The sequence below is a fragment of the Homo sapiens genome, chromosome 18, assembly GCF_000001405.40.
Source record: "Homo sapiens chromosome 18, GRCh38.p14 Primary Assembly".
Taxonomy (NCBI): domain Eukaryota; kingdom Metazoa; phylum Chordata; class Mammalia; order Primates; family Hominidae; genus Homo; species Homo sapiens.
The window spans coordinates 41,954,277-41,977,819 of NC_000018.10; the positions used below are offsets into that span (position 1 = coordinate 41,954,277).

Consider the following 23,543-nt stretch of genomic DNA (forward strand, 5'->3'; position numbering starts at 1 on the left):
AGATGGAGGTTGCAGTGAGCCGAGATGGTGCCAGCCTGGGCGACAATAGCAAAACTCCATCTCAAAAAAAAAAAAAAAAAAGAAATAAAGGCATAGAAAATGGAGACTTTCATTCAATATCATCATTAATAACCAGTAAGTAGGAAGTATTAAACTCAGCAATGCATTAGACAGCTAGCGGGGCAAGACACGGAAGTAAATGGCACACTGGTCTTACCTTCCAAGAGTTTTCAATCTAATTGGAAGGGAGTATTACAATTTTAGATTATAATAATTATAAAAACAAACATTATAGGAGCTCAGAGGGTTTAGAGATCTGTGTTCTGTAGTTATTACAGGAGGCCTCTAGATTCTAACTTGGGTTAGGGCTTGAAACTACATTGAATTTGAATATTCCCAGTTTAAACATGCACGCAAGTATTATGTCCAAAGTAGCATGAATACTGACAACACCAAACATGAAACCCAGATTTATTTATTCTCTATTTAGTCCTTTCCCTACTCTTTAGAGCAGAAAGAGAAAATCCTTGCTTGAGATAGCAAATTAGTGCTACACTTTTTGGGAAGGCCACTGGAATTTAAACCTGGCAAAATTCCAATTTTTGTGCTTGTAACCTGTTTAGCCGGCAGCCAGTGAAAGCTGTTATAATTCTTTTTGAATTGAATTTTCTTTCGTATTGTTTTAGGTACAGCTCAAGCTCAAATGATAGCGTCTCTTTTTCTTTAAAAAAAAAAAAAAGTGCTGTCAAGACAGGAAAACTGGAATGTAACCAGATTAGCCGTTTCCCGTATACATTTGCCCTTAAGCAAGATGGTGGGCGCCTTGTGCACATGCGCGGAAGGGTTGTTTCGGCGGGGAGTTCCGCCGCGTCGGAACTCGCTCCGGGCGTGGATTGGCGGCTTGCTGGCGGGGGCGGAACCGGAAGTTCCGTGTTGTGGGGCTCAGCTGGTTCATTTATGTTGTTTTTCCTGTACCTAAGTTCCCGCTGTAGGTGGTACCTTTGCAGACGGTGCGATGGGGGAAGCAGAGAAGTTTCACTACATCTATAGTTGTGACCTGGATATCAACGTCCAGCTTAAGATGTAAGAGAACACTCGGGACAGGGAGTGGGATTGCTGGGGCGTAGGGACGTGGGGGCAGGGGCCTGTTGGGAGTGAGAGGCAGAAAGTACGTGACTCGTCTCAAGGCCCAGATTGGGGGCGGCTGTGAGGGCTGTAGCCAGGGAGGCGCGAGAGAGTGGATCGTGGAGAGGGGCTCTTTTGGAAAAGGATTTAATACGTGGTCTCCGTGAGAAGCACAGCAGTAGGAATAGCCCTTAAGTTCCGCTGTATTTTACAGTCTTTAAAGTTTTTGCTGTTCAGCCTTTTGAGAGTTTATTACTATTTCATTGTAAATTAAGAAATCAAGTCTCGTCGTAAGTAAGAGGACGATCTTTATTTTGGAACGGGGCTTGTAGGGTGGAATGAAGGCTTCAGAAATTATGGAGAGGTAGACACAGGCAGATGCGATAGTTGAGAATAAGATGAGCACATGGTGTATTAGCACGGGAGGTGATAGAGGCCTAGAGTGAATCTTTGGGTAGTATGGCAGTGTTTAGTCAGGGAAGTTGGGAGTAAGTCGAAGATGAGGGTTCCAGTTTCAAAGGTACCAAGAAGATAGGAGAAAAGAGTCTTTGCAGGAAAACGTTGGGGCACCACGGCTGAAGTAAAGGTCAAGGGCGTGATATCTTGAGATGAGGATAATAGAACTGGTATAATGACGAGGGATGCACAAGACAGAGTTGGAAATTATGTCCCTTTTAAGGTGGTCATGTAGGAGTGTTGTCAAAGCTATCACAAATTATTGACCATAGCATCATCCATAATTAATAAACATTTCTTGTGTATGTTCAATTAATATTCAACAAATATGTGTCGGTCAAAGGCCTGCAGTAAGTGATAGATAAATTTTCTCAGTTGTCTGATGTACCTTTGAATGATCATTTCATTTTATTTTCAGAAGTCCCTTATTCGCTGACAAATACTTTACTTTTTAGTTTGTGGTGGTGGTGGTAAAAGTAATATGTCAACAACCACCTTGTACCTTTGTATGATACTTTATACACTCATTTAAGGTATTTTCCATAGCATACACCACTAGTAGTTTATACAGGATCAATATTGATAAAGGGCTTTCCTTCAGCTTGATGCTCAGTATTTCTTGGATATATGAATGCATTTTTTGAAATGTTTGAACATTAAAAATAAAGAAAAAGCCAAAAAAACCGGTCCCTTTTTTTTTTTTTTTTTTTTTTGGAGACAGGGTCTCACTCTGTCTCCTTTCCCTTTGGGATGACGTTCTGCTTCTTTTGCTTCAACTCTCATGCATTGTTCAGGATCATTTCAGACATCTATCTGGGGTACTAAGTCCCTTCCCCATGCCAGCCTAAGTACTCTTGAGACTCTGATTTATCTTACTGTAATGGGAAGAATATTGGCTTTGGCCTCCCTGCCCTAGTGTTTATTCTCAGCTCTGTTACTTACGTTGTGACTGTGGATAAGGAGTTTAGTTTATAAGTCTCTGTTTCCTCATTTATAAAATGAGAATATGGTGAAAATTATGTAAGAAAGAAAATATAAAATGCCTGGCACAGTATCTGATGTAATCTTGATGTCTAAAAAATGTTCCTCCCTCTGTGATAGTATCCTGTGCATATCTATTTATGACTTATACCACTGTTTTAAAGAAATGATCAGACAATGCATATGCATAGTAAAAGAAAAAAATGGAAAGAGTAGAATAAAAACATGCAGTTAAAAGTAAATTTTTTTCCCCAGAAGCAATGACTTAATATTTTATTGTAATACTGTATTGCTTATCTTTTCTTTCTTCTGGGCTTCTTTGTCCACTATGGTAAATGTTTCCTGAAAGAATAGATGAATATGTGGTCAACTTGAAATGAAGAAAATGAAACCAAGGCCTAGAAAGCTGGTGACTTCCAGAGGGTAGATCAAGGGTCAATGGCAGCGTTTAAAATTCAGAAGTATAAAATAGAGAAATGTGTTGATGAAGATGGGACTGATATTAGGTATGTTAGGATTTTAAGAAACCCTTATCATATATAAAAATGACATTAATTTCATATACAGGAAAATGTTGTTTAGGTAGCATACCTTAACACAAAGGTAAACTTTTTAGTACTTATGCATATATGTACATGCTTAAAGCATATATGTACATGCTTAGTACTTATGTATATATGTACATGCTTAAAAAATTCATGTCTGAAACATTGTTGGTCTTGTGCTTTCAGAGGAAGCTTGGAAGGGAAGAGAGAACAAAAGAGTTATAAAGCTGTCCTGGAAGACCCAATGTTGAAGTTCTCAGGACTATATCAAGAGACATGCTCTGATCTTTATGTTACTTGTCAAGTTTTTGCAGAAGGGAAGCCTTTGGCCTTGCCAGTGAGAACATCCTACAAAGCATTTAGTACAAGATGGAAGTAAGTTTTTTTGTGGCATATGGTATGTTACAGACTGTTCTTACCTTTCTTTATGGATGCTGCAAGTATAATTTAGTAGGATTATAGAGGAATTTCTTAATACCTATAGGCATTGATCAAATCATTTGAAGTAGAAACATACTCAGATAAAGTATTATGCATGTCAGTATTATAACTGCAATTGAAATAGAAATGGATTTATGTTTGTAGTTAGCATATTGACATTTTGATAAGCACTTGACTGATTTACATGACCAAAAACAAAAACACGTCTGTGGCATTTTAAAATTCTTTACCATCCTGTGCTCTTGAATGCATAAATACTTCTGGATAGTCTGAAATATTGTCCAACCTGATGTTTGGAGCTCAGATTTTTAGAGATAGATCTATTGCCATCGGTTCAGATAAAATTTTTATTATTATTTTACATATGAAACTAATTTATTTAGATTCATAGTTTATTCAGCATGGCACATTAGCAAGACCTTGTCAAGATGCAGGGTAAATATAATGAACATGAAGTTCCTGTTTTTTTCAGAAGAGTATTGTGGATCCTTAATCTGACTTCTTGACACTTCTTATTTGATAGACTATGTAGTGCAGTTCTGATGTTTGATCAGCGAGTGTTATTCAGCACTCTGGTAGGCTCAGTGTAGGATACACAGGCTGTATGCTTTTAAGGAAGGAGTGTTCATGGAAGACAGGATGTGACCACATGGACAGCCAGACTGTGCCATAGAGGGTTCAACCCTGTGTGTCCCAGGTGTCACCCAGTGTAGCTGGAAAGGGTTTTCAAACAGCAGAAGCCTGAACTCTGGTGATCTGGCCATATCGAAACCAAGTATTTTAATGGTGTAATTTCTTCAGTAGTCTTTGTGGAGAGATATCTGTCTGTCTGTCTGTCTATCTAGCCTATCTATCTGTATATATATATGTGTGTATATAGATATAGATATATATGTATATAGATATGTGTGTATGTGTATGTAGATATACACACACACATAAAAAATATATATATATACTTAATACTTTTTATTCTGGAAAATTTTAAACCTACAAAAATAGAATAATACAGTGAACGCCTAAGTTTCTGTTACATACCTACTGTTAACTCATGGCCAATCTTGTATTCTCACCATTTTGTAACAAACCTCAAACGTTATAACACCTTAACTGTAAGTATTTCTGTATATCTGTTTTTAAAGCATAACTACAGTATCATCATCATCACACCTAAAACAATGGAGCAGAATTCCTTAATTGTATCAGAGATTCTTAAACTGGAATCAGGAAGTCTTCAAACCCCTGAAGGTGTATGCAGAATTTTGTGTTTTGTGTACTTTTTCAGGGACAGAGCTCAAAGCTTTAATTAGATTTTTGAGGTCACCTATTACTCTCAGAAGAGTTAAAACAAATTTAGGTCTAGAAGGCCAAAAACATTTTGGTAAGGAAAAATGTATAGTGGCTTCTGTTGCATGACTTGACAAAAAAGGAAATTACAACAAAAGCAAATTCTCAATTACAAGATTAAAGGTTTTCTCCTCCTCCTCCCATTTGCCAACTCTTCTCTGCATTAGTTTTTATATTATATGTTTGCAAGAATATAAAAACTTCCATGTTTGATCTCTAAAAGTTGAATTTTTAACGTTTGTAGTTTTTAAATTGTGAAAGTACTGGAAAGTACGCTAAAATTATTTAAAACGACTTTGAAATTAAAATGTCTAAGCTATGTAGACAATAGATTTAGAAAAACACCTTATTTTGGATAAAATACCACGAGAATAGGCTTTTTAAAAAAATACTGTACAGGTGGATCACTTGAGGTCAGGAGTTCAAGACCAGCCTGGCCCACATGGTGAAACCCCCTATTAAAAATACAAAAATTGCCTGGACATGGTGGCAGGTACCTGTAATCCCAGCTACTTGGGAGGCTAAGGCAGGAGAATCGCCGGAACCCAGGAGGCAGAGGTTGCAGTGAGCTGAGATTGAGCCATTGCACTCCAGCCTGGGCAACAGAACGAGACTCCATCTCAAAAAAAAAGAATAGTCTTTAGGAGACTAAGAGAAAACATTTGCACATTTTATACATCCTGCTCTTTAGTATTCGAAAGTTGAATTTATTGGTAGTTCATCAAAACAAAAATTGCCATCCTAAAGTGAGTGGAGGTAAAAACCTTAAATAGTCCTTATTTATAAGTATTTGCTTAAAAGAGATATTCTATAAACCTTGGAAAGAAGAAATTAGATCATAAAGGGATCTCTTGCTATCCAAATTTTTGCATTCCTTAGTTCAGATAGTATTTTAGGGCCAGTATGAGATTCTAAATTATTTAAATCTGTTTGATTTCTGACTTTCTGATAGTGAGTTGTGAGAGTTCTAATAATGAGGAACTCATCCGAAATTTATTCAAGTCTATCATATCATGTCCTATTCTGTCCTACACTAAGAGATCCCATGAGGGACACTTGTACTTCCTTTAATTACACTTAAGGTAAATTCTCATTTTTAGGTGTATGTACTGCAAATTTCTAAGTTTTTTTCTTATGTGAATATTATTCTTTAGGGAAGTAGTTTACATTTTTAAGAACACTTATATTTCACATTGTCTCATAAAGGTTTTGAAAATGGCTTTAGAGAGACATATAATACAATCTAATTCAAAAATTACAAAGTTAGGATTCAGAAGTATTTTAATCAGATTCGAGTGCTAGCACAATGGTATGCGGTGATGGCGGTACCTGGTGGGGATTGGAGCATCCAGATTTAGGCTTTGCAGTCTGGTGATGTTTTGATTGTTGCCAAGTGAATGTAATCTTAAGGTTAATGAGGGTTAGCGGATGGGGTAGGGATGATTCGTGAAGAGGAGGAGAACGAAGTGGTGTCCAAAATATATACCTTTTTGGTGTCTGACTAGATTTTTCTATAACTTCTAGAATATCTAGAGCAGTTTTCAAACTTTTTGACTGAAGGATCATTTTTTCTTTTTTCTTTTTTTTTTTGAGATGGCGTCTCGCTCTGTCGCCAGGCTGGAGTGCAGTGGCATGATCTTGGCTCACTGCAGTCTTCACCCTCTGGGTTCAAGCAATCTCCTGCCTCAGCCTCCCAAGTAGCTGGGACTACAGGCGCGCACCACCATGCCCGGCTGATTTTTGTATTTTTAGTAGAGACACGGTTTCACCATGTTGGCGAAGCTCATCTTGAACTCCTGACCTCAAGTGATCTGCCTGCCTCGGCCTCCCAAAGTAGGATCATTTTTTTCAAAAGAACTCTTCTGCAGAAGCCTCGTATATAAAACATATTAAGTGCAGTTGCTTTGATTGAAAGTGGTGTTGCCTGGTATTGGATAGCAAAAGGTTTGAGACAAATGATTAGTTGGTCATTGGTGTTGTCTGGTAGTCATTAAAGGACAGAATACAGAATAATAAATTCCACAATATTATCCAAAAAGAAATTTGGATAATATCCAAAACATTATTTTGGATGTTATCGCTTATTGTTGTCTTCAACTTTAGCCAGTGTTAATTAACTTCTGTGGTTTATTCATTGGCAAAAGTTGGCACTGCTTAGTGTTTTTCTTTCTAGCCTGCCCTACCATGTGGCTAGTAATTAGATAATTTTATTTAGTTGTTTGAGCCTATTTGTAGTAGATACTGGCTTTCTTAAGCATGTGATTAAAAAAGTATTTCATAGAAGAAAAGGATTTAATAACTCCTTTTTCTTGAAATTGATAGCCATCTCTAATTTATATGGCGTATATAAATGATTTGTTGTTTAAGTTTTTGGAAATTTTGTTAAATGTTTTAGCAATACAGATGTATTTAACATAGACTAGGATATGTCCCTTAGATAATAACTTTGAATGAACAGAATAATTTTGAGTAAACAGAAATAGAATTCTATGTGTCTGCTAGGTATTAGTTTGGCATATTGTTGGCACAGTATTCTTTTGGAATTTAAAAGCCAGCTCCTCTTGAAGAGGGTTGAAATTATCAAATGAATACAGTGTGAAATTTAAAAGTATAAGAAAATTTACATAAATATATAGAGGGTTTAAAAAAAAAGAGCTGTGGTGTCATTAACTATATTATTATTAACAAACATTCCTCAGTGAAAGAATATATACAGATGTGCTTTGAAAGCATAAAGCACTAATAGCTTAATGTTATCAGTATTAATGAAATCATTTGAGGAACAGAAAATTCTCGCATAAGAAGTCACATATCTGTCTGGAGCAGTCTGGTAACTTCATGTGATAAAGGTAGTAGATTTTCTACTTTGAGTTTTTGTTTTGATTGTTTTTTTTCCTGATTTATTCTCAGAAGTGCTTTTGAGTATGAGTAATTTTGATTATTTTATCTTCATAATGTAAATTGGGTTTTGAAGAGTGGTTAAAGAAAATCATGGTTTGTTTAAAAAGTTCTAACAGGTTGAAATGTTTTCCCAGGTTTTTTTCGCCATTATATTATCTGGTGTCTTGGTGTTTTCTGAGTTTTATTAAAAAATTTAACAGAGCTGTTTTTCATGAGCTCTATTAAAACAATTATGTTTTTATTTAAAATGGAAAGTTGCCTTTAGCAAAATTGAGGTGACTGCCATATTATTTTTTAGAGTCTAACAACATTTTTGGAACCTTTTCCTCTGGCCAAAACTTTTTGTGTGGTTTGTTAATTTAAAAGAAAGATATATATATATGTATTTCTGATTTATGTTAACTTCATTTCCATAGCTGGAATGAATGGCTGAAACTACCAGTAAAATACCCTGACCTGCCCAGGAATGCCCAAGTGGCCCTCACCATATGGGATGTGTATGGTCCCGGAAAAGCAGTGCCTGTAGGAGGAACAACGGTTTCGCTCTTTGGAAAATACGGGTAAGCATTCTGTTGGTCTCATCTGTAGGAGTGTAGCAGCTTTCTGACCCTTTTCTTTTTCGGAATGAGGGAAGGCTTTAATAGTTTATGCTCAGTCTCCAGTGTAAACCAGTTAGGTACATATGATTTGATCATTCCTTACACTGATTTTAACATATATTTCCTACAGGATATACAGATAGATTAGGAAATACAATTTATATTGCTCTTCTGTTGGTGATTTAATGTGATTTCTAGTAGAAAATAGAAGTCATTGGGAAATAGAACCTTGCTTTTAGGGAAAAGTGACTATGACATATAACTGCTTTGTTACAGGGTTTATCTGCTTTTTTTATAATATTGACAGAAAGGATGAAAAACAGGATTAAAAAGCATTCATTAGCTAATGATGGTAATGATTGTGATAGAAAAGATAATTCAGTTTTTGAAACATTTGCAAATACTAGATGTTAATTGTTAAAAAAAAAATCCCATAGTCCCAAAGGATATTTTCTCTATATCGTTTTTCTCCTGGGACAGAGGACTCAGTCTGTCTTTAGAGAATTTGTGACATTCTGTTATTATTCTGCATTTACTAATAGGAATTTTTCACTAAAGAACTTGGTCCTTCATCAAGTATTTACTTAGTTCATATAGGAAAGACAGATAAATATTTTAACTTTCTTTCCCTTTACCGATTTTAAGACTAATGAGTTTGTGCCCTAGTAACTTGCAAAGGTGGTGATCGATGGCTTTTGTGCATTTTGTTTTTTATGTGTTTTAGTCCATTGCTGTCTTTACTCTTTATAATGCTCAAAAAATCTCATTTTTGGTCAGTAGGAGACCCTTCAAGTAGACCCCGTGTCCTTTTGGCAGTACACTACTAGTGATTGGTAGCTTCTTTGCTTTCTGGTAGACAAGTTTTTCCAGGCTCATTTGGTAATTTTCTGCTCCAGACCTGGAATCTCTGAAAGAAGTTCTGGTTCCTTTCAGTGTGAAATGCTATAGATCTGTCTGGATATTACAAATGTCTTAATTTTTGTCTACTTTAAAGTTAAAAAATGTTATTTAATTTTTACATCATTAAGTATGAGGAGGATTGTATTTTGGAGTGTTTATTGACTATTTGTGTTTATGTTTCCATGAACTGCTTTTTGATGTACTTTGTCCTTTTTAGAAATTGAGATATAATTCACATATCATAAAATTCTTTGCTTTTTTTTTTTTTTGAGTTGTCGTTTTCTTATTGATATATAAGGAGTCTTTGTAGATGAATGGAATTAGCCCTTTGTGGGTTATGTTACAAATACTGCTTTTCTGGTTTGGTTTGTTCTTTTGAATTAGTATGTATTTGTTTGCTCTTCATGGATTTTAAATTATTATCTTGAATCTATCAGTTTTTAGTTTTTGGGCTGTGAATTTAATGTTTTAGGAAGTTCCCATTTAAGATTCTTTAAAATGGTTTCTTCTGTTGTGCTTTTATTCCTTTATATTAAAATCTTTGATTTATCTAAAATTACTTTTGTGAAAGAGTGGTATAGTGAGAATAGCTTTTTAGAGAAAACCAAAACAAATGGTTTGAATATTTGTCCCAACACTGCTTATTAAATAAGTCATCTTATCCAGCTATTTTAAAATAGCATCCTTATATACTCAATTCATCATGTGTTGAAGTCTAAGAGAGGCATTATAGTGTATAGTGCTATAGTGGTTAGGAAAGCAAGTTGTAGATTATCTGGCTTCAAATCTTGGCTTCTTTGCTTAGTATCTGTGTATCCTTGGGCAGATTATTTAATCTTATGCCTCAATGTCTTCATATGTTAAATGAAAGAACAATAGTATCCACCTCATTGAGTAGTTTATGATTGTTACATTACTAAATACATTTAATGGGCCTGATAAATATTATATCATATATTTATGTATTGAATAAATATTATAATGACCTTAATAAATACTAGGTATCCTTCCTGGGCTATTCTGTCAGTTAGGATAGTATTATAAAATGTTTAAGTATTAGGTAAGGATAATTCTTATTAGTCTTTCTTTTAAAATATTTCCAGGTTTGTTTTGGCAGATACATTTTAATATTTTCTCAATTAAAAAACTCAATGTTATTTTGTTAGAAAATCTTACTGAATTATATATGTTAATTAAAGAGAGAATTGATGCCTTTATAATATTAAATTTTCCTATCCAGGAAAAGAGTGTGTCAGAAAGGCTTCTAAACTCATGAATGAAATCTAGATGTAATCCCATTTGGAATAGCTTGGTTGCTTACAAATACCTAGGTATTTTAGTTTAATGTGGCTATTAAAGAGATATTTGTTATTAAAATTCATACAGGAAAAATAACTTAGATGTAGTCTGAAACATTGTAACTTTCAGTTTTAAAATATACTTTTTGATAAAATAGCATGTTACAGCAGAATGGACATATTGCTAAATCAGTATTGTTTCTTTTACAGAGTGTTTACCCCTTATTTTTTGTTACTAGGGAGGGGCTTGTTTGCAACAGAGAAGAAAAAGAAAAATGTACAGCTCTTCTTAGTGGCTAAATATTTTTGAGAAATAACCAGACATTCCTCTTGGTTTTTCCTCCCAGATTCATCACAAGTGGTTTACCTTCTGGAATATCAACAGGAGGTTCCCTCATAAAAACACCTGCGTTAGTACTCATGCATTTTAGGGGACTTTAGGATCTAGTTTCAGAGGATTTTCTGACTAGGATGTAGTTGTGGGAGGGACAATTGAAATTTCCACAGATGCAGTGAAATGAACTGCGTACATCTAAACAAACTCTCAGATTGATTTTTGGTACTGTTTAGTTTGGCTTCTGGCACGTTTTTTTAAAAAGTACTACATCAAATCAGTAATAATCAACCTGTGTTTAAGAACCATCCTGGAAGCCTATGAGAAAAGCATCTTCCTGGGTTCTCACTAACTCAGTGTGTCTGTGGTGGGGCCCAAGAATCAGCATTTTAAACAAGCATCCTGAGTGAGTCTGTGAAAGGGAGCCTATGAACCACATTTTGAGAAGCACTGAACTGACCTTTGTGATAGTTTATTAATATGACTTACACGTGCATTCATGCGTTCCTCTTCTTTACTCCTTCTCTTGGTGCCCACTTTATTTGTAATTCTGTGTATATCCCAGTGAAAGGAAAATTCCTTTACCTCCCATCCAAACCAAGCTGGCAGCGTGCCTAAAGACAAATCAGTAGCACTTGTTCTACTTTAAAAAGTCATTAAACCCCAAGGATTTCTATAAAGGGAGCAGTAGCAATAAGTGAGTGGTTACTTAAATTTGTTTTCTGCCATTAACTAAAATAAGACTTTGAATCTTGGAAAGTCATCTGTTTTCTCTTAACTCTAACTGGAAAATAGGTCATCCTACACTCCTTCATGTCCCGAACACATCAGATGCCCGATATAAATGAAACCTGTTAGAGAGAAGCACTGATTGCGTGAAATTATCTCACTTAGAGCTTGATTTCTCCAACTTGAGTCATTTACTTATCACTTTTAGAATTCCATTCATATCTCTTTGCTAAGTATATTGTTCCTTTTTTTTTTTTTTTTTTTTTTTGAGATGGATTCTCTGTCGCCCTGCTGTGGGGTGATCTGAGCTCACTGCAACCTCCGCCTCCTGGGTTCAAGCGATTCTCCTGCCTCAGCCTCCTGAGTAGCCGGGATTACAGGCCCATGCCACCGTGCCCAGCTAATTTTTGTATTTTTAGTATAGGCGGGGTTTCACCGTGTTGGCCAGGCTGGTCTTGAGCTCCTGACCTCAGCTGATCCGCCTGCCTCGCCCTCCCAAAGTGTTGGGATTACAGGTATGAGCCACTATGCCTGGCCTATTGTTCTTTACTTGATATCTTTATTTACCCCAACTTACTTTTTTTAAACTTCCACTTATTTTAAAAGAAAAGCTTGATATCCCTGTTATACATGGAAAACAAGTATTATTTAACATTAGTGGGTAATAGCAAGACTAAATATAATGACAAAAACTATGCTATTAAATTTTAGAAATTGAAGCAAAAGAATCCCTAGTGAATACAAATGATATGAAATTCATTTGATTTGCAAAATATGCATACAATATCTGCAAAAAAGTCCTTTAATTAGAATGGTTCTGTTTTCCATAGTCAGATATACACGGAATATTCAGCTCACTCTCAGATTAAGGTGAAGATCAGGCTTTACATCATTTTCATTTTTAATCAGTTCAACTCCTATATAGTTGTAGGGCAGTTATCCAAACATAACTAACATAACGTAAGATTTTAATATAGGTCTAAGATATTTTGAGGGGGTGGAGTGCAAAAAGACTAAATCACCAACTCCTGTTCCCCCTGTACTGGCGCTTGTACTGACCTTCACCTCAGAAGAAGGAATTCTAAGAAACCCTATGAAATTAAAACAACTTTTTTTTTTTCCTCTCTGTCCTGTAGCCTTGCCATGTGGGTGAGCTGCCTCGCATTGGAGAAAAGCCAGGCATTTCCTAGTCCTAAGCAGCTACAGGTCTTCTTGTGCAGCTTTGGATTGTGAAAGATGATGTTCAGGATGTTCCTGGTGCTACAGCAGAGTGCAGACATCTCCTTATGCTGTTGGCTCACAGCTACTTCCTTGCATGGTGCTGCCATCCAGGGAGTCAGGGCAATATGAGTATTCTGGGTGGTCTCAGCAAGAAGCGCGTGCAGATTTTCTTCCACCTGTCCTCAAAAACCATGCCATGTGCCACTACCATTCTCATAACTTAGGGAAACGCTGCCTTTAACCATAGTTTTCTCAGATGTTTCTTATGCAGTGAAATAACACCAACCATCCCTCGCCTTTTCCCCTAAAGGGTTCTGATGTGTACTTAGTAGCTGTTAAAAGTGATCCTCAAGACATCTAGTATTGTAGTATTGTAGTATTGGTAATCTTGTGACTATCAGCTCTTGCTGTTTGCTAATATCTGTTTTGTTTACATGAGTCAGTATGAGGCAGAACTTCTTGGAGAATAGTCTAATTAATAATTGAAATACTGATTTGTTAGGGATAAGGCTAGAATAATTTGTCGTCCTTAATTTGGAAGTCTAGCATATGAAATTTCAAAGTAGCTAAAGAATGGATTGATTGTTAGGTTGACCTGGCAAAGAACCACATGCAAGCTGTAGATTTCTCTTGCAGTTGTTTTTTCTAAATGTGAATCCTGGAAGTCAAGGCAGTTGGTGCTGTAGTGGCTTGGCACTGCAAGCTGGAATATCAACAGCAGCTGTTGCTGGGGCCTCTGCTGGAGTCAGAAGGAGATCCTGCTGTGCTGTTTCTTCTCTCTCGCCTGTTTGGCTTAATTTCCCAAGTGGACACGATGCTCTGAGCATCTTCTGCCTTGCCACCTGGAGGCTGTGTAACTCTGCAAAGTTCCATTAGTGTCAAAAGAAAGTAATATGTTCACTTGCTCATTTGAGTCACTTGGCATCACCCATACCCTCCACGTCCCCTATCCTTAAATCTCTTCTCTAGATCCATCCCAAGGCACCTAAATCATTTAGTAAACTGACTTCTTGCCAAATGTGCTTATTTTTGATTTAGTTCAGCCAGCCAAAGTATTCACTGGGGGATGGGAAGGTAGAGAGAAGGAAGGGAAGCCTTCTGCTATTTCTGAAGGTACATTTAAGGATATTTATTTAAAGTGATATTATCATCTCACTGTACGTAGTTCCTTAGAGACTGCTCTAAGCAGGCCTGCTTAATGTTGAATCTATATCTCAGTTGAAAGAGAAAGAAAATTAACTTTATAAGAGACATGTATATATGTGGTTTTTGTACTGTAATTTTCTTTTGATGTTTAACATGATAAATAAATATTGAGAATTTTGATTTATCACAGCTAGTCAATGCATTTTGTATGGGTCCATAAGGTAAGCTTTTGCAAATACAGTTACTAGAATTATCTGTTTTATTGCCAACTTTAGAGACCTTTTAACAGATATGGTCTTTGATCTTATTGTGCTCATGAGTTTGTAGCTGTCTTTTATAGTTCCCAATCTAAATGTTTATGGCATCATTACTTATACACATTATATAATGTTGAGTGAAAATCTTTATTACCTTAGGAAAATCTATGAAGAAAGTTTTTATTAGCCAGAACATTATAATAATGATTTGAAAAAATTTATGTAAACCGTTAGCAGTTAAGGAGACAATTTTTTTTTGTTGTTTTTTTTTTAAGTTTTGAAACAGGGTCTCACTTTCTCACCCAGGCTGGAGTACAGTGGTGCAAACATGGCTCACTATAGCCTGGTCTTCCCAGGCTTAAGCAATCCTCCTGCCTCAGCCCCCTAAAAACTACAGGCATATGCCACTGTACCCACCTAATTTTAGTTTTTTTTTTTATTTTTTAGAGATGGGGTTTCGCCATGTTGCCCAGGCTAGTCTCAAACTCTTGAGCTCAAGTGGTCTGCCTGCCTCAGCCTCTCAAAATGCTGAGATTACAGGTGTGAGCCACCATGCCCAGTCTGTACCTTGTTTTTTTTTTAAAGTATTAAATGTGAAAATGTATGAAATGCTTTAGATTTGCCTGTCCATCTACACACACTTCTAGTTTTTTTCTTTCTATTGTAATTTCTATAGTCTTTTTATTTCTAAGAGTAAGAAATAACTTATTGAGCTTTGAGTAGATGCTGTTTGAGTAGACTTTATGTTTGAAAATTCTTGTTCAAAAATATTTTTTTGAAAAGAAACCGCATTAACAGAAGAACATCTTTAACCTCCCCATCAGAAAGAAACATGGGAACTTGGCAGCAGCATAATTAAAACACATAGTTATCTAAAGCTCTTTATGAGTTTGTTTCATCTTTATATGTTCTTGGTAGCTTTTTGACAAAAACAAGACAAAGGTTATATATTGTTTCACTTTGAAGCAGGATAACCAAACTTAGGCTGAATTCTGGCTATGTGCTAAATTTCTGATTTATAGACATGGGAAATGTTTTTGTATGAATCTACTATTGTATTCACTTTTAGAACATGCCTTTTATGGAAAAGAAAGGAGAAATCAATTTGTACAGCAAAAAGACTAGTAATAGCTAACATTTATTGAATACTAACTGTATGCCAGCCACTGTTCTAAGTACTTTTTACTTGTATTGATTTATTTAATTTTTCCAGTTACCTTGTGGGATACAAGTCCTTTTATCCTATTTTATAAAAGAGGAAACCGAGGTACAGAGAGGTTAAGTAGTTTACCCTAGGTTATGTGGGTAATAGCACAGCTGTGATTCAAGTACAGGCAGTTTGACTATATAGTCTACTGTAATGTCATTTAAAGAAAACAGTTATGTAATTATTTAAATTTTGATTTTAGTCATTGTAAATGTGGCATTCTTCAGTTGGTTAGGAATTTGATCTCTGTTATTCCTTAGATCTTCACCAAAGTGATGAAATGTGTGTGCTCATTTCTCATCCTTCTCTCCTTCCACTCTCTGTGTAGAATTCTCTGTCATAGTTCTGAGCGCTTGGAGGAGAAAAGAATGGCATGTGCAAAGCAGTGTGACATGGATTTTAGTTGCTTGGTTAATTGCTTTACATTCCATTGGGGGCTTAAAGCTTGGCAGTGGAGATATACATTTCCATGTATAGAATTCTCTTTATTTTTAGGAATCTAAAATTTCCTGTAATGAACTGTATTAATTTACTTCTACCCTGAACATTCTCTTTTTCCCTAGCATGTTTCGCCAAGGGATGCATGACTTGAAAGTCTGGCCTAATGTAGAAGCAGATGGATCAGAACCCACAAAAACTCCTGGCAGAACAAGTAGCACTCTCTCAGAAGATCAGATGAGCCGTCTTGCCAAGGTAAAAAAAGTCATTTGGAACAGGTGCAAAGCTCTGACTGATGTCTATTGTAGTATATATACCTTGACATTATGAACTCTGTCAGATTTTTAAAAAATCTAAATCTTAACTTTTAAATAATTGTTTTATTGAGATATAATTCACATACCATAAAGTTCACCCTTGGAAAGCATACAGTCTGATGGTTTAGTAAATTTACAGACTTGTATAATCATCACCACTATATAATTTTAGAATTTTTTCATCACCCCTAAAAGAAACCGCACCATTAACAGTCACTCCCATTTTCTGCTCCCTGCAGTTAGTTCCAGGCAAGTACTAATCTACTTACTATCTGTATGGATTTGCCTGTTCTGGAAATTTCATATAAATGGAATCATTCAGTATGTGACCTTATGTCTGGAAATCTGTCAGGTTTGAAAATGTGGAGCGTTGGTGATATTTTCAAGATGACCACCCACTTTTTCTGGTGACATAGCCTTAAAGTTGTTAGTGTAACATTCTAGAGAAGCTTATGCCACTTGGAAGTGAAGATGACTCAGACAATTAACTAGTATAAAGTTTCTTTGTAAGCAAATGAAGTTATTACCTTTTTCTTTCAAAATTGTTTTAATCAAGTGTTTTCACTTAGAAATATAAAAACTAAATTCTATTCCGTGCATTAATTGCAACGCTGTCATTTATTTTGTGAACTTCCTTTCACAAAGCACTGTGTTAGATACTGTTTAAGGATCCCTTTACAGTTATCTGATTAGGACACTTTCTTGTAGTTATAATACATACTTTTTTTTTGCAATCTTATTAGTAGGAGTGCCTCTTTAATGTCTGGAGGAAGTTTTGTTGCTAAGCTTTTAACAGCTTGTTGCCTTTACCCACATATAGAAGAAATCTTCAAGAATAAGTACTTGGGTTGGCTAGGCTTCATGCTTCAACACAGAATTTTTGTCAAGTTCATTTTGTCTTTTGTATTGCTCTTTTAAGGAAAAATGGTGTTGTAGCAACCTGATAACTATATTGACCAATATACTATTGTCTGCTTCTCCCATCCATAATTAAATAAAATTTAATATTCATTTCTTCTACTCATTCTGAGATTTTGTTTGCATTCTGACGTGGGATATAGGAAAGGTCTCAAGCTTTTCATATGTCTACCTTTAAGACTTTATCTTAGTGATGATCTTTCATTTGAGCTACTCTCTGTCCCTTTTACAAACCTTGAATAGTTAATATAAATTTTATTAGAATCAATTCATTTATAGCCTGTGGGTCACTATAATATGAAAAAGGTTAAATTAAAAAAGAATAAAGAATAATATTTTTAAAAAAGCTCTTAAATTGTCTTTTAAGAGTAGCCATTATGATTCATATTGTAGGTGAAATTCTAAGTCTGAGGGGGAATGGCCAGAGTCAAGAAATATAAAGCTTTATAGTTGCACAGTGTAACTACATTGTTTCTCTGTTAAACACATTATTTAGGCTTCTGTTCACCTAAAAAGTTAGGTTTCTAATTTTTTTCCCTAATTCTTTTTGATGGAAGGTTTAAAAAATAATTTTTGTAACAACTATGACATTTTTCAGGCATCGGTGTATGGAGTATAATCATTGGAATTAGTCCCAGTTGGACTGCTGGTTTTTTAATGTAGCACAACGTTAATAGTATATCTTTTTCATTTTAATCTTTTGAATTTTATACTAGAAAAAAGATGTGACTTAATGATCACCTTTTTTATGATTGAAACAGTAACCCTTCATGCTTGTTCATATTTGTCTTTTAGTTATTTGTGCACATTAACAACTCTAGAAATGATGACTAAGCATGTGCAGAGCTCAATGAGGTGTAGGAAAGAAGCCTTCTTAATGTTTTTGTTAATTGGTAGCAATCATTATCCCCAGTTTAAATTCCTTAGAGTAGCCAAGTGGATCCTACTTTTTCAAGAGATAGTTATTAAAATTTATGTGCTGTTTGTATTGTTCAGAATGGTTAGCAGTTTTCAGATAAGTTTTTATTGGTTTGTAAATCTTTAAAATGGGAATAAAAATTAATGAGAGTGAGCAGCTTACAGTCCTCCTGATAGTAATTGGAGCCTAGCTCTTTTCCACATTCTTTCATCCCTAATAGAATTGTACTTTTAACTTCTGAATGGAGTGGAGACATCTGAGCTTGCCGTGCTGTGACAGCTTGCATTAGTATTAACTTATGTTCCCCAAAGACTAAACAGAAACCATCAAAATGAGTAATTACTTTTTTAAGGGGAAAAATGTGTCCTGTTTGTAGCTTTGTTAAGGAATTGCTCCCTCTTTGAAGGAAGCTCTTTTTATTTTTTGATGTATTGTGCTAACTCGATATTCCCCTCTTCTTGATATAGCAGTTGCTTGTGGTTTTTGAGGTTTCAGAACTGTTGTATATCCCAGCTGCTATTGAAGAGAAATGTTTTAAAAATGATGTCTTAAGATTTGACAAAATTGGAAGGTTGGGCACTTGGAAATGCATTATAGTGGGAAGAGCACTGTACTGCGAGTCAGAGTTTTGGCCATTCTGCTAACTTGGGGAAAATAATTTTTGAGTTTGCAAAATCAGGTGTTTAGAATGGATGATTTTTATGGTCTCATGTAGCTCTTTAATTGATTCTAAAAGTACTGATATAGGAAATAATTGGGATTATCTACCTGGGTTTCATAGTTATTATCTTACTAGGGAATAAAATTGTGATTATTAATTTGCAACTTTGAATGTATTGTTTGCAGGTCATTCCTTTTTTTCTGCAATGTGTATGCCTAGGGTAAAGTGTTACATAGGGCTTGCCTAATGTGAATAATGGGGCTTTGCTCTTAATTTTGTTGTTTGATTAGTGCTTGCTTCTTAAATTTTTAGAGAGGCTTCCTGAAAAACAACTCTTTCCTCACCTAAAACATGGTCTTGCCTTATACTTGAGAAAATATATTTTGATACTTGTATGGTCTTAATTTACTCTCTTACTCTTTAGTTAATTAATTAATTAAGTTAGTTAATTTACTAACTTACCGGAGAGAGTATACTTCGGTACTTACATTCTTAAAATTATATTCTTAACTTAAAATTATTTTGACTGAATTTATTATTATTATTCTTAAATTCTTAAAATTATGCTTAGATACTTAACTTGTTCTTACAGTTGTGCCACAATAGTGTCTGCTGTCTTTCACTCTTTTTCTGATGACACATTTTAAAAAGTTGTTCAGTTAGATTGTCACTCTCTTTCTCAAAACGTTTTGAAATTGTATTAGGTATAATAAACTTTTAAACATGGGAAAGTATTTGTATGCCTCCTGCTTCCATTTTCATACAGAAGGAACAGAGATGGTAGATGTAATGTCTGTATTTCTCACGCTACCATTTTAAGAAAAAAAATTAGTATTCAAATAGATGAGGGTTAAGTAGTTAGAACCAAATGGTTTATTTCTTGTTGCAACTTTTATTTTCCATCCAGTGAATTTACTATGATTGTTTCTAATTTTTGAGAAGACAGTTGGCTTAAGACTAAAAAGATATACATAAATCTTAATAATAGCAAAGCATTTTTACTATGCATGGTACCCATGAGCCTAAATAAGTAGCATAGTAGTAACAGTTTTCAAACTGCAGTATGAGAGAGTTTACTCACTTATAGAACTACTTCAGTCTTGATTGTCTAGGGATAATGGACAAGAGGACTGTGAAATGAAGATTAACTATTTAATGGCCTGTGAAAAGACGGTGTTAGATAATTATTAAGCAAAGAACTTCCACTACAAGCCAGACTTAACCCTCTTCTGATTTATTGCTCACCTATTACAGTTGAATTCTAATTACAGTATGAATAGCTGAAGTTTGAAAGCCTGCTTTTCAAGTTTGAGAGTTTTTAAAAGTCCAGTTCTTTCAGGATGAATTTAGCGGAATTAACCTCTCTCATGATTTTACCTGATTTTGTGAACATGCCTAGTTTTGCTTTAAGGAAAAATGAGTATGAAAAAAGGAAACATAATCATTTTCCTTAATTTTTATTTTTTATAACTTGAATTTCTTAGACTTCTAGTAGGGAATGAAAGAAATGAATAATTTAAATACACTATTACCCCCCCACCCCCTGCCCCATTTTCTTCTTTTTCCCATTTCTAAGTTTCCCTAATTAATTTTTAGTATAGTGTCTTTCCGTTTGAATTGATTTGTGAAAATAATAAAAGACCAGACTTCTAGAGCATTTATTAAACTTTCCTTGTCCATGACCCAGGCTTTTGGTGGCTGTGGGCCTTACTTGAGCAAATTTACCCATTGTTCCCATCTGCTCTGTTTTTCAGCTTGTCATATTATAAGAGTTTTATGACTAGAATGCATATCCACCTGGGGTTTTGGATGTGACTACCAAGCTTTAGTGTTTGATTTATATTTGAATCCATGTCTTTAGACATGAAAGGTTAGTGCAAAAGCATGCTTCTCCACTGTCTCCTTTTCATTTTAGCAGCTCTGCTTGATGCCTTTGGAATGTGCTTTAGTTTCTGTCAGTTTGATTAAGAGGAGGCAAAGAGAAAGTAACAACTAGATGAAAAATGCTTTGTACTCTGTGTGACACAGATAGGTATGGGAATGTTGTTGAGTAGAGTATAGAGGTGAACACTGTTGCAGGGAAGATGTGGTAAGATGTGGTGGTGTTTCAGGCTGAACCACAGAGTGCCTGTGTGGCGTCACTGTGGGTCCAGGGTCTAGATCTCAGGTTTAAATAGGAGCTGGATTTTTTAAGTTCATTTAGTTATTGTTTCTTGAGAATAGGTTCATGCCAACCACTTCAAAGAGTCATTTATAATCTGGAGCTGCAGTGTCTAATATCAGAGCCACAAGTCGCATGTAGCAATTTAGATTTAGGTTAATTAAGATGAAATAACATTAAAAATTCAGTTGCTCTGTCACTTTAACTACATTTCAAATGCTTAGACGCCCCTGGTGGCTACAAGATATCTATTGGACAGTGCACATGTCGAACGTTTCTATTATTGCCAAAAGTTCTACTGACAGCATTGATCTAGAGTGCCAATTTACAAATTTGTGGTGGGTGAGTACATCTTTCTGGTAACCATATTACTTGTGCCTGCTATCTAGGACACCGTATTTCAAGATACTTTGGAAATGTAAGTAGTCTTCATGATATTGTTGATTTCTTAGTGAACCATGAAGGAGCTGGAAAGGTTTCTCAGATATTTTTCTCAGTTTTGGGAAATCTAAAACGGACTGTTTTTTTTTTTTTTTTTCTGAGATGGAGTCTTGCTCTGTCGCCCAGGCTGGAGTGCAGTGGCACGATGTCAGCTCACTGCAAGCTCCACCTCCCAAGTTCATGCCATTCTCCTGCCTCAGCCTCCCAGGTAGCTGTGACTACAGGCACCCGCCATCATGCCTGGCTAATTTTTCTGTATTTTTAGTAGAAATGGGGCTTCATTGTGTTAGCCAGGCTGGTCTTGAACTCCTGACCTCGTGATCTGCCTGCCTTGGCCTCCCAAAGTGCTGGGATTGCAGGCGTGAGCCACCACGCCTGGCCAAAAGGACTTTCTTTATAGTATCCTTTTAATTTAAATTTACTTGAATATGCTGGTTGTACTGCATCTTTTGAATAAACGTTGACAAATTATCACAATCCCAAAATAATCCTTGAAAATCAAGATTAAGATAGCAAGGAATTTTCTGGTCACATAATTAATTTTCTAAAGTGGGATTGAAGTAGTTTGACCCACTATAATATTTACCCTTGAAAGAAAGTATTTTGCATTAATCTATTGCATCAAATGGGTACTTGTCCTAGAGCATTGATTAGAGGAGCTCCCTGAGATTTTAGTTTTATGTACATGTAGAAGTCCTCTTTCATCTTCACCATTGTCAAAGGCACACTTCTAAATGTTGAAGACCAAAAAAAAAAAAAATTGTATTACTAAGTTCCTGATGTCATTATTGTTAGTGTTATTATGACTAATAATAGTAACTACATTTATAATCACCTTGTATGTGTAAAGTGCTTTAATATCAACAAAACCTCTTAGCATAGATTGCAAACTAAAATAGAGAAGGGATTAAGATCATGGCTTTAGAGACCATTTTTTATTCAAATCCCAGCTGTGATCTTGAACTAGCTATTTAACCTTTACTAAGTCATGAAATCCTCTTCTGTAAAGTAGGAATAGTAGTTATATCTGTTTTTGGAGATTATTGTGAAGACTAAGTGTAAATGATAAAATGTTTAAAGGATTTAGCATACTGCTCAGCAAATACTGAGCACTAATAAATGTTAGCTGTTGTTATTACTTTTTTTACTTGCTTTTATTTGAGTCTGACAAGTGTAGGATTGGGACTTATGCACTACATTGTTTTTAAATTCATGAAAAGATGAAAGCGTAGAGAAGTTAAGCTGTTTATTTATGGTTACATATTTGGTAACTTGCAGAACCAGCACCTAAAACCACGTCTTTAAATTCTTTATGGAAATCTCTTCCAAAATAAGTATCAGTGACATATGCTTAAGATCTGAGGATTGAGAGGAATGTGTTTGCATGAAGAATGTATTGTTCTTATTTAGAAGATTAAAATTGAAAATAGGAGAAAAGGTAGATAGAATATGAAGCAGTGTCTACACTGCAGGTCCTCAAGTATGGCATAAAAGATGATGCCCGTTAAGTCAGTAAACAGTGACCTGCCTATGGTAAGCACCCATTACATATCTATGCTATGAAAGAATTGGAGTTATGAATGATATATGGCTTCAGTTGTTACGAATACATACTTCAAAAGCAATTAAAAAAACAGTAGATCTTAAGATTTATTTCATCATAGTCAGTGCAACCTCAAAGGACAAAGGCCTAGGAGGAAAGGAAACATTACTGAAAAAGGTGTATGTTGTTCAAAGGAACTATTAATAGGATAGGAACCTCAGTGTACAAACATATGAGAGAACCCCTTAGTAAGTATACAAGAGACGTACAACAGATGCTGCAAAATTGCGGAAACGTTTTAGAGCCATGAGAGGAAGTGGCTATATAGATATATGTGTATTTTTTTTTTTTTGAGACACAGTCTCACTCTGTCGTCCAGACTGGAGTGCAGTGGTGCAATCTCGGCTCACTGCAACTCCTGGGTTCAAGCGATTCTCTGCCTCAGCCTGCTGAGTAGCTGGGATTACAGGTGCGTGCCGCCATGCCCGGCTAATTTTTGTAATTGTAGAGACAGGGTTTCACCATGTTGGCCAGGCAGGTCTCGAACTCCTAACCTCAAGTGATCAACCCGCCTCGGCCTCCCAAAGCATTGGAATTAGAAGTGTGAGCCACCATGCCTGGGCCAGAAATGGCTATTTTCTTTGTGTGATCACAAAAA

At 35.5% G+C, this 23,543-nt stretch overlaps 1 protein-coding gene across 5 annotated transcripts in view, besides 1 other annotated feature; it reads left to right on the forward strand.

Moving 5' to 3' along the window:
• Nucleotides 736-915: an enhancer, noted in NCBI's record as "active region_13247". NCBI's record gives its function as "activates an Ori minimal core promoter by ATAC-STARR-seq in GM12878 lymphoblastoid cells {active_cell/tissue: GM12878}" and the evidence as "EXISTENCE:reporter gene assay evidence [ECO:0000049][PMID:35858748]".
• The window catches only part of PIK3C3 (phosphatidylinositol 3-kinase catalytic subunit type 3), a 132,597-nt gene continuing 110,011 nt past the window's right edge, over nt 958-23,543 (forward strand). For 3 of the 5 annotated variants that reach the window (NM_002647.4, XM_047437549.1, XM_047437551.1), the window contains exons 1-4: nt 958-1,083; nt 3,294-3,482; nt 8,213-8,356; nt 16,051-16,180. In NM_002647.4, coding sequence (NP_002638.2) covers nt 1,016-1,083; nt 3,294-3,482; nt 8,213-8,356; nt 16,051-16,180 — 531 coding nt within the window. In that variant the 5' untranslated portion in view covers nt 958-1,015. Of the gene's footprint in view, nt 1,084-3,293; nt 3,483-8,212; nt 8,357-16,050; nt 16,181-23,543 lie in introns of those variants that run through there. The other 2 variants (NM_001308020.2, XM_047437550.1) reach the window with 2 other exon arrangements.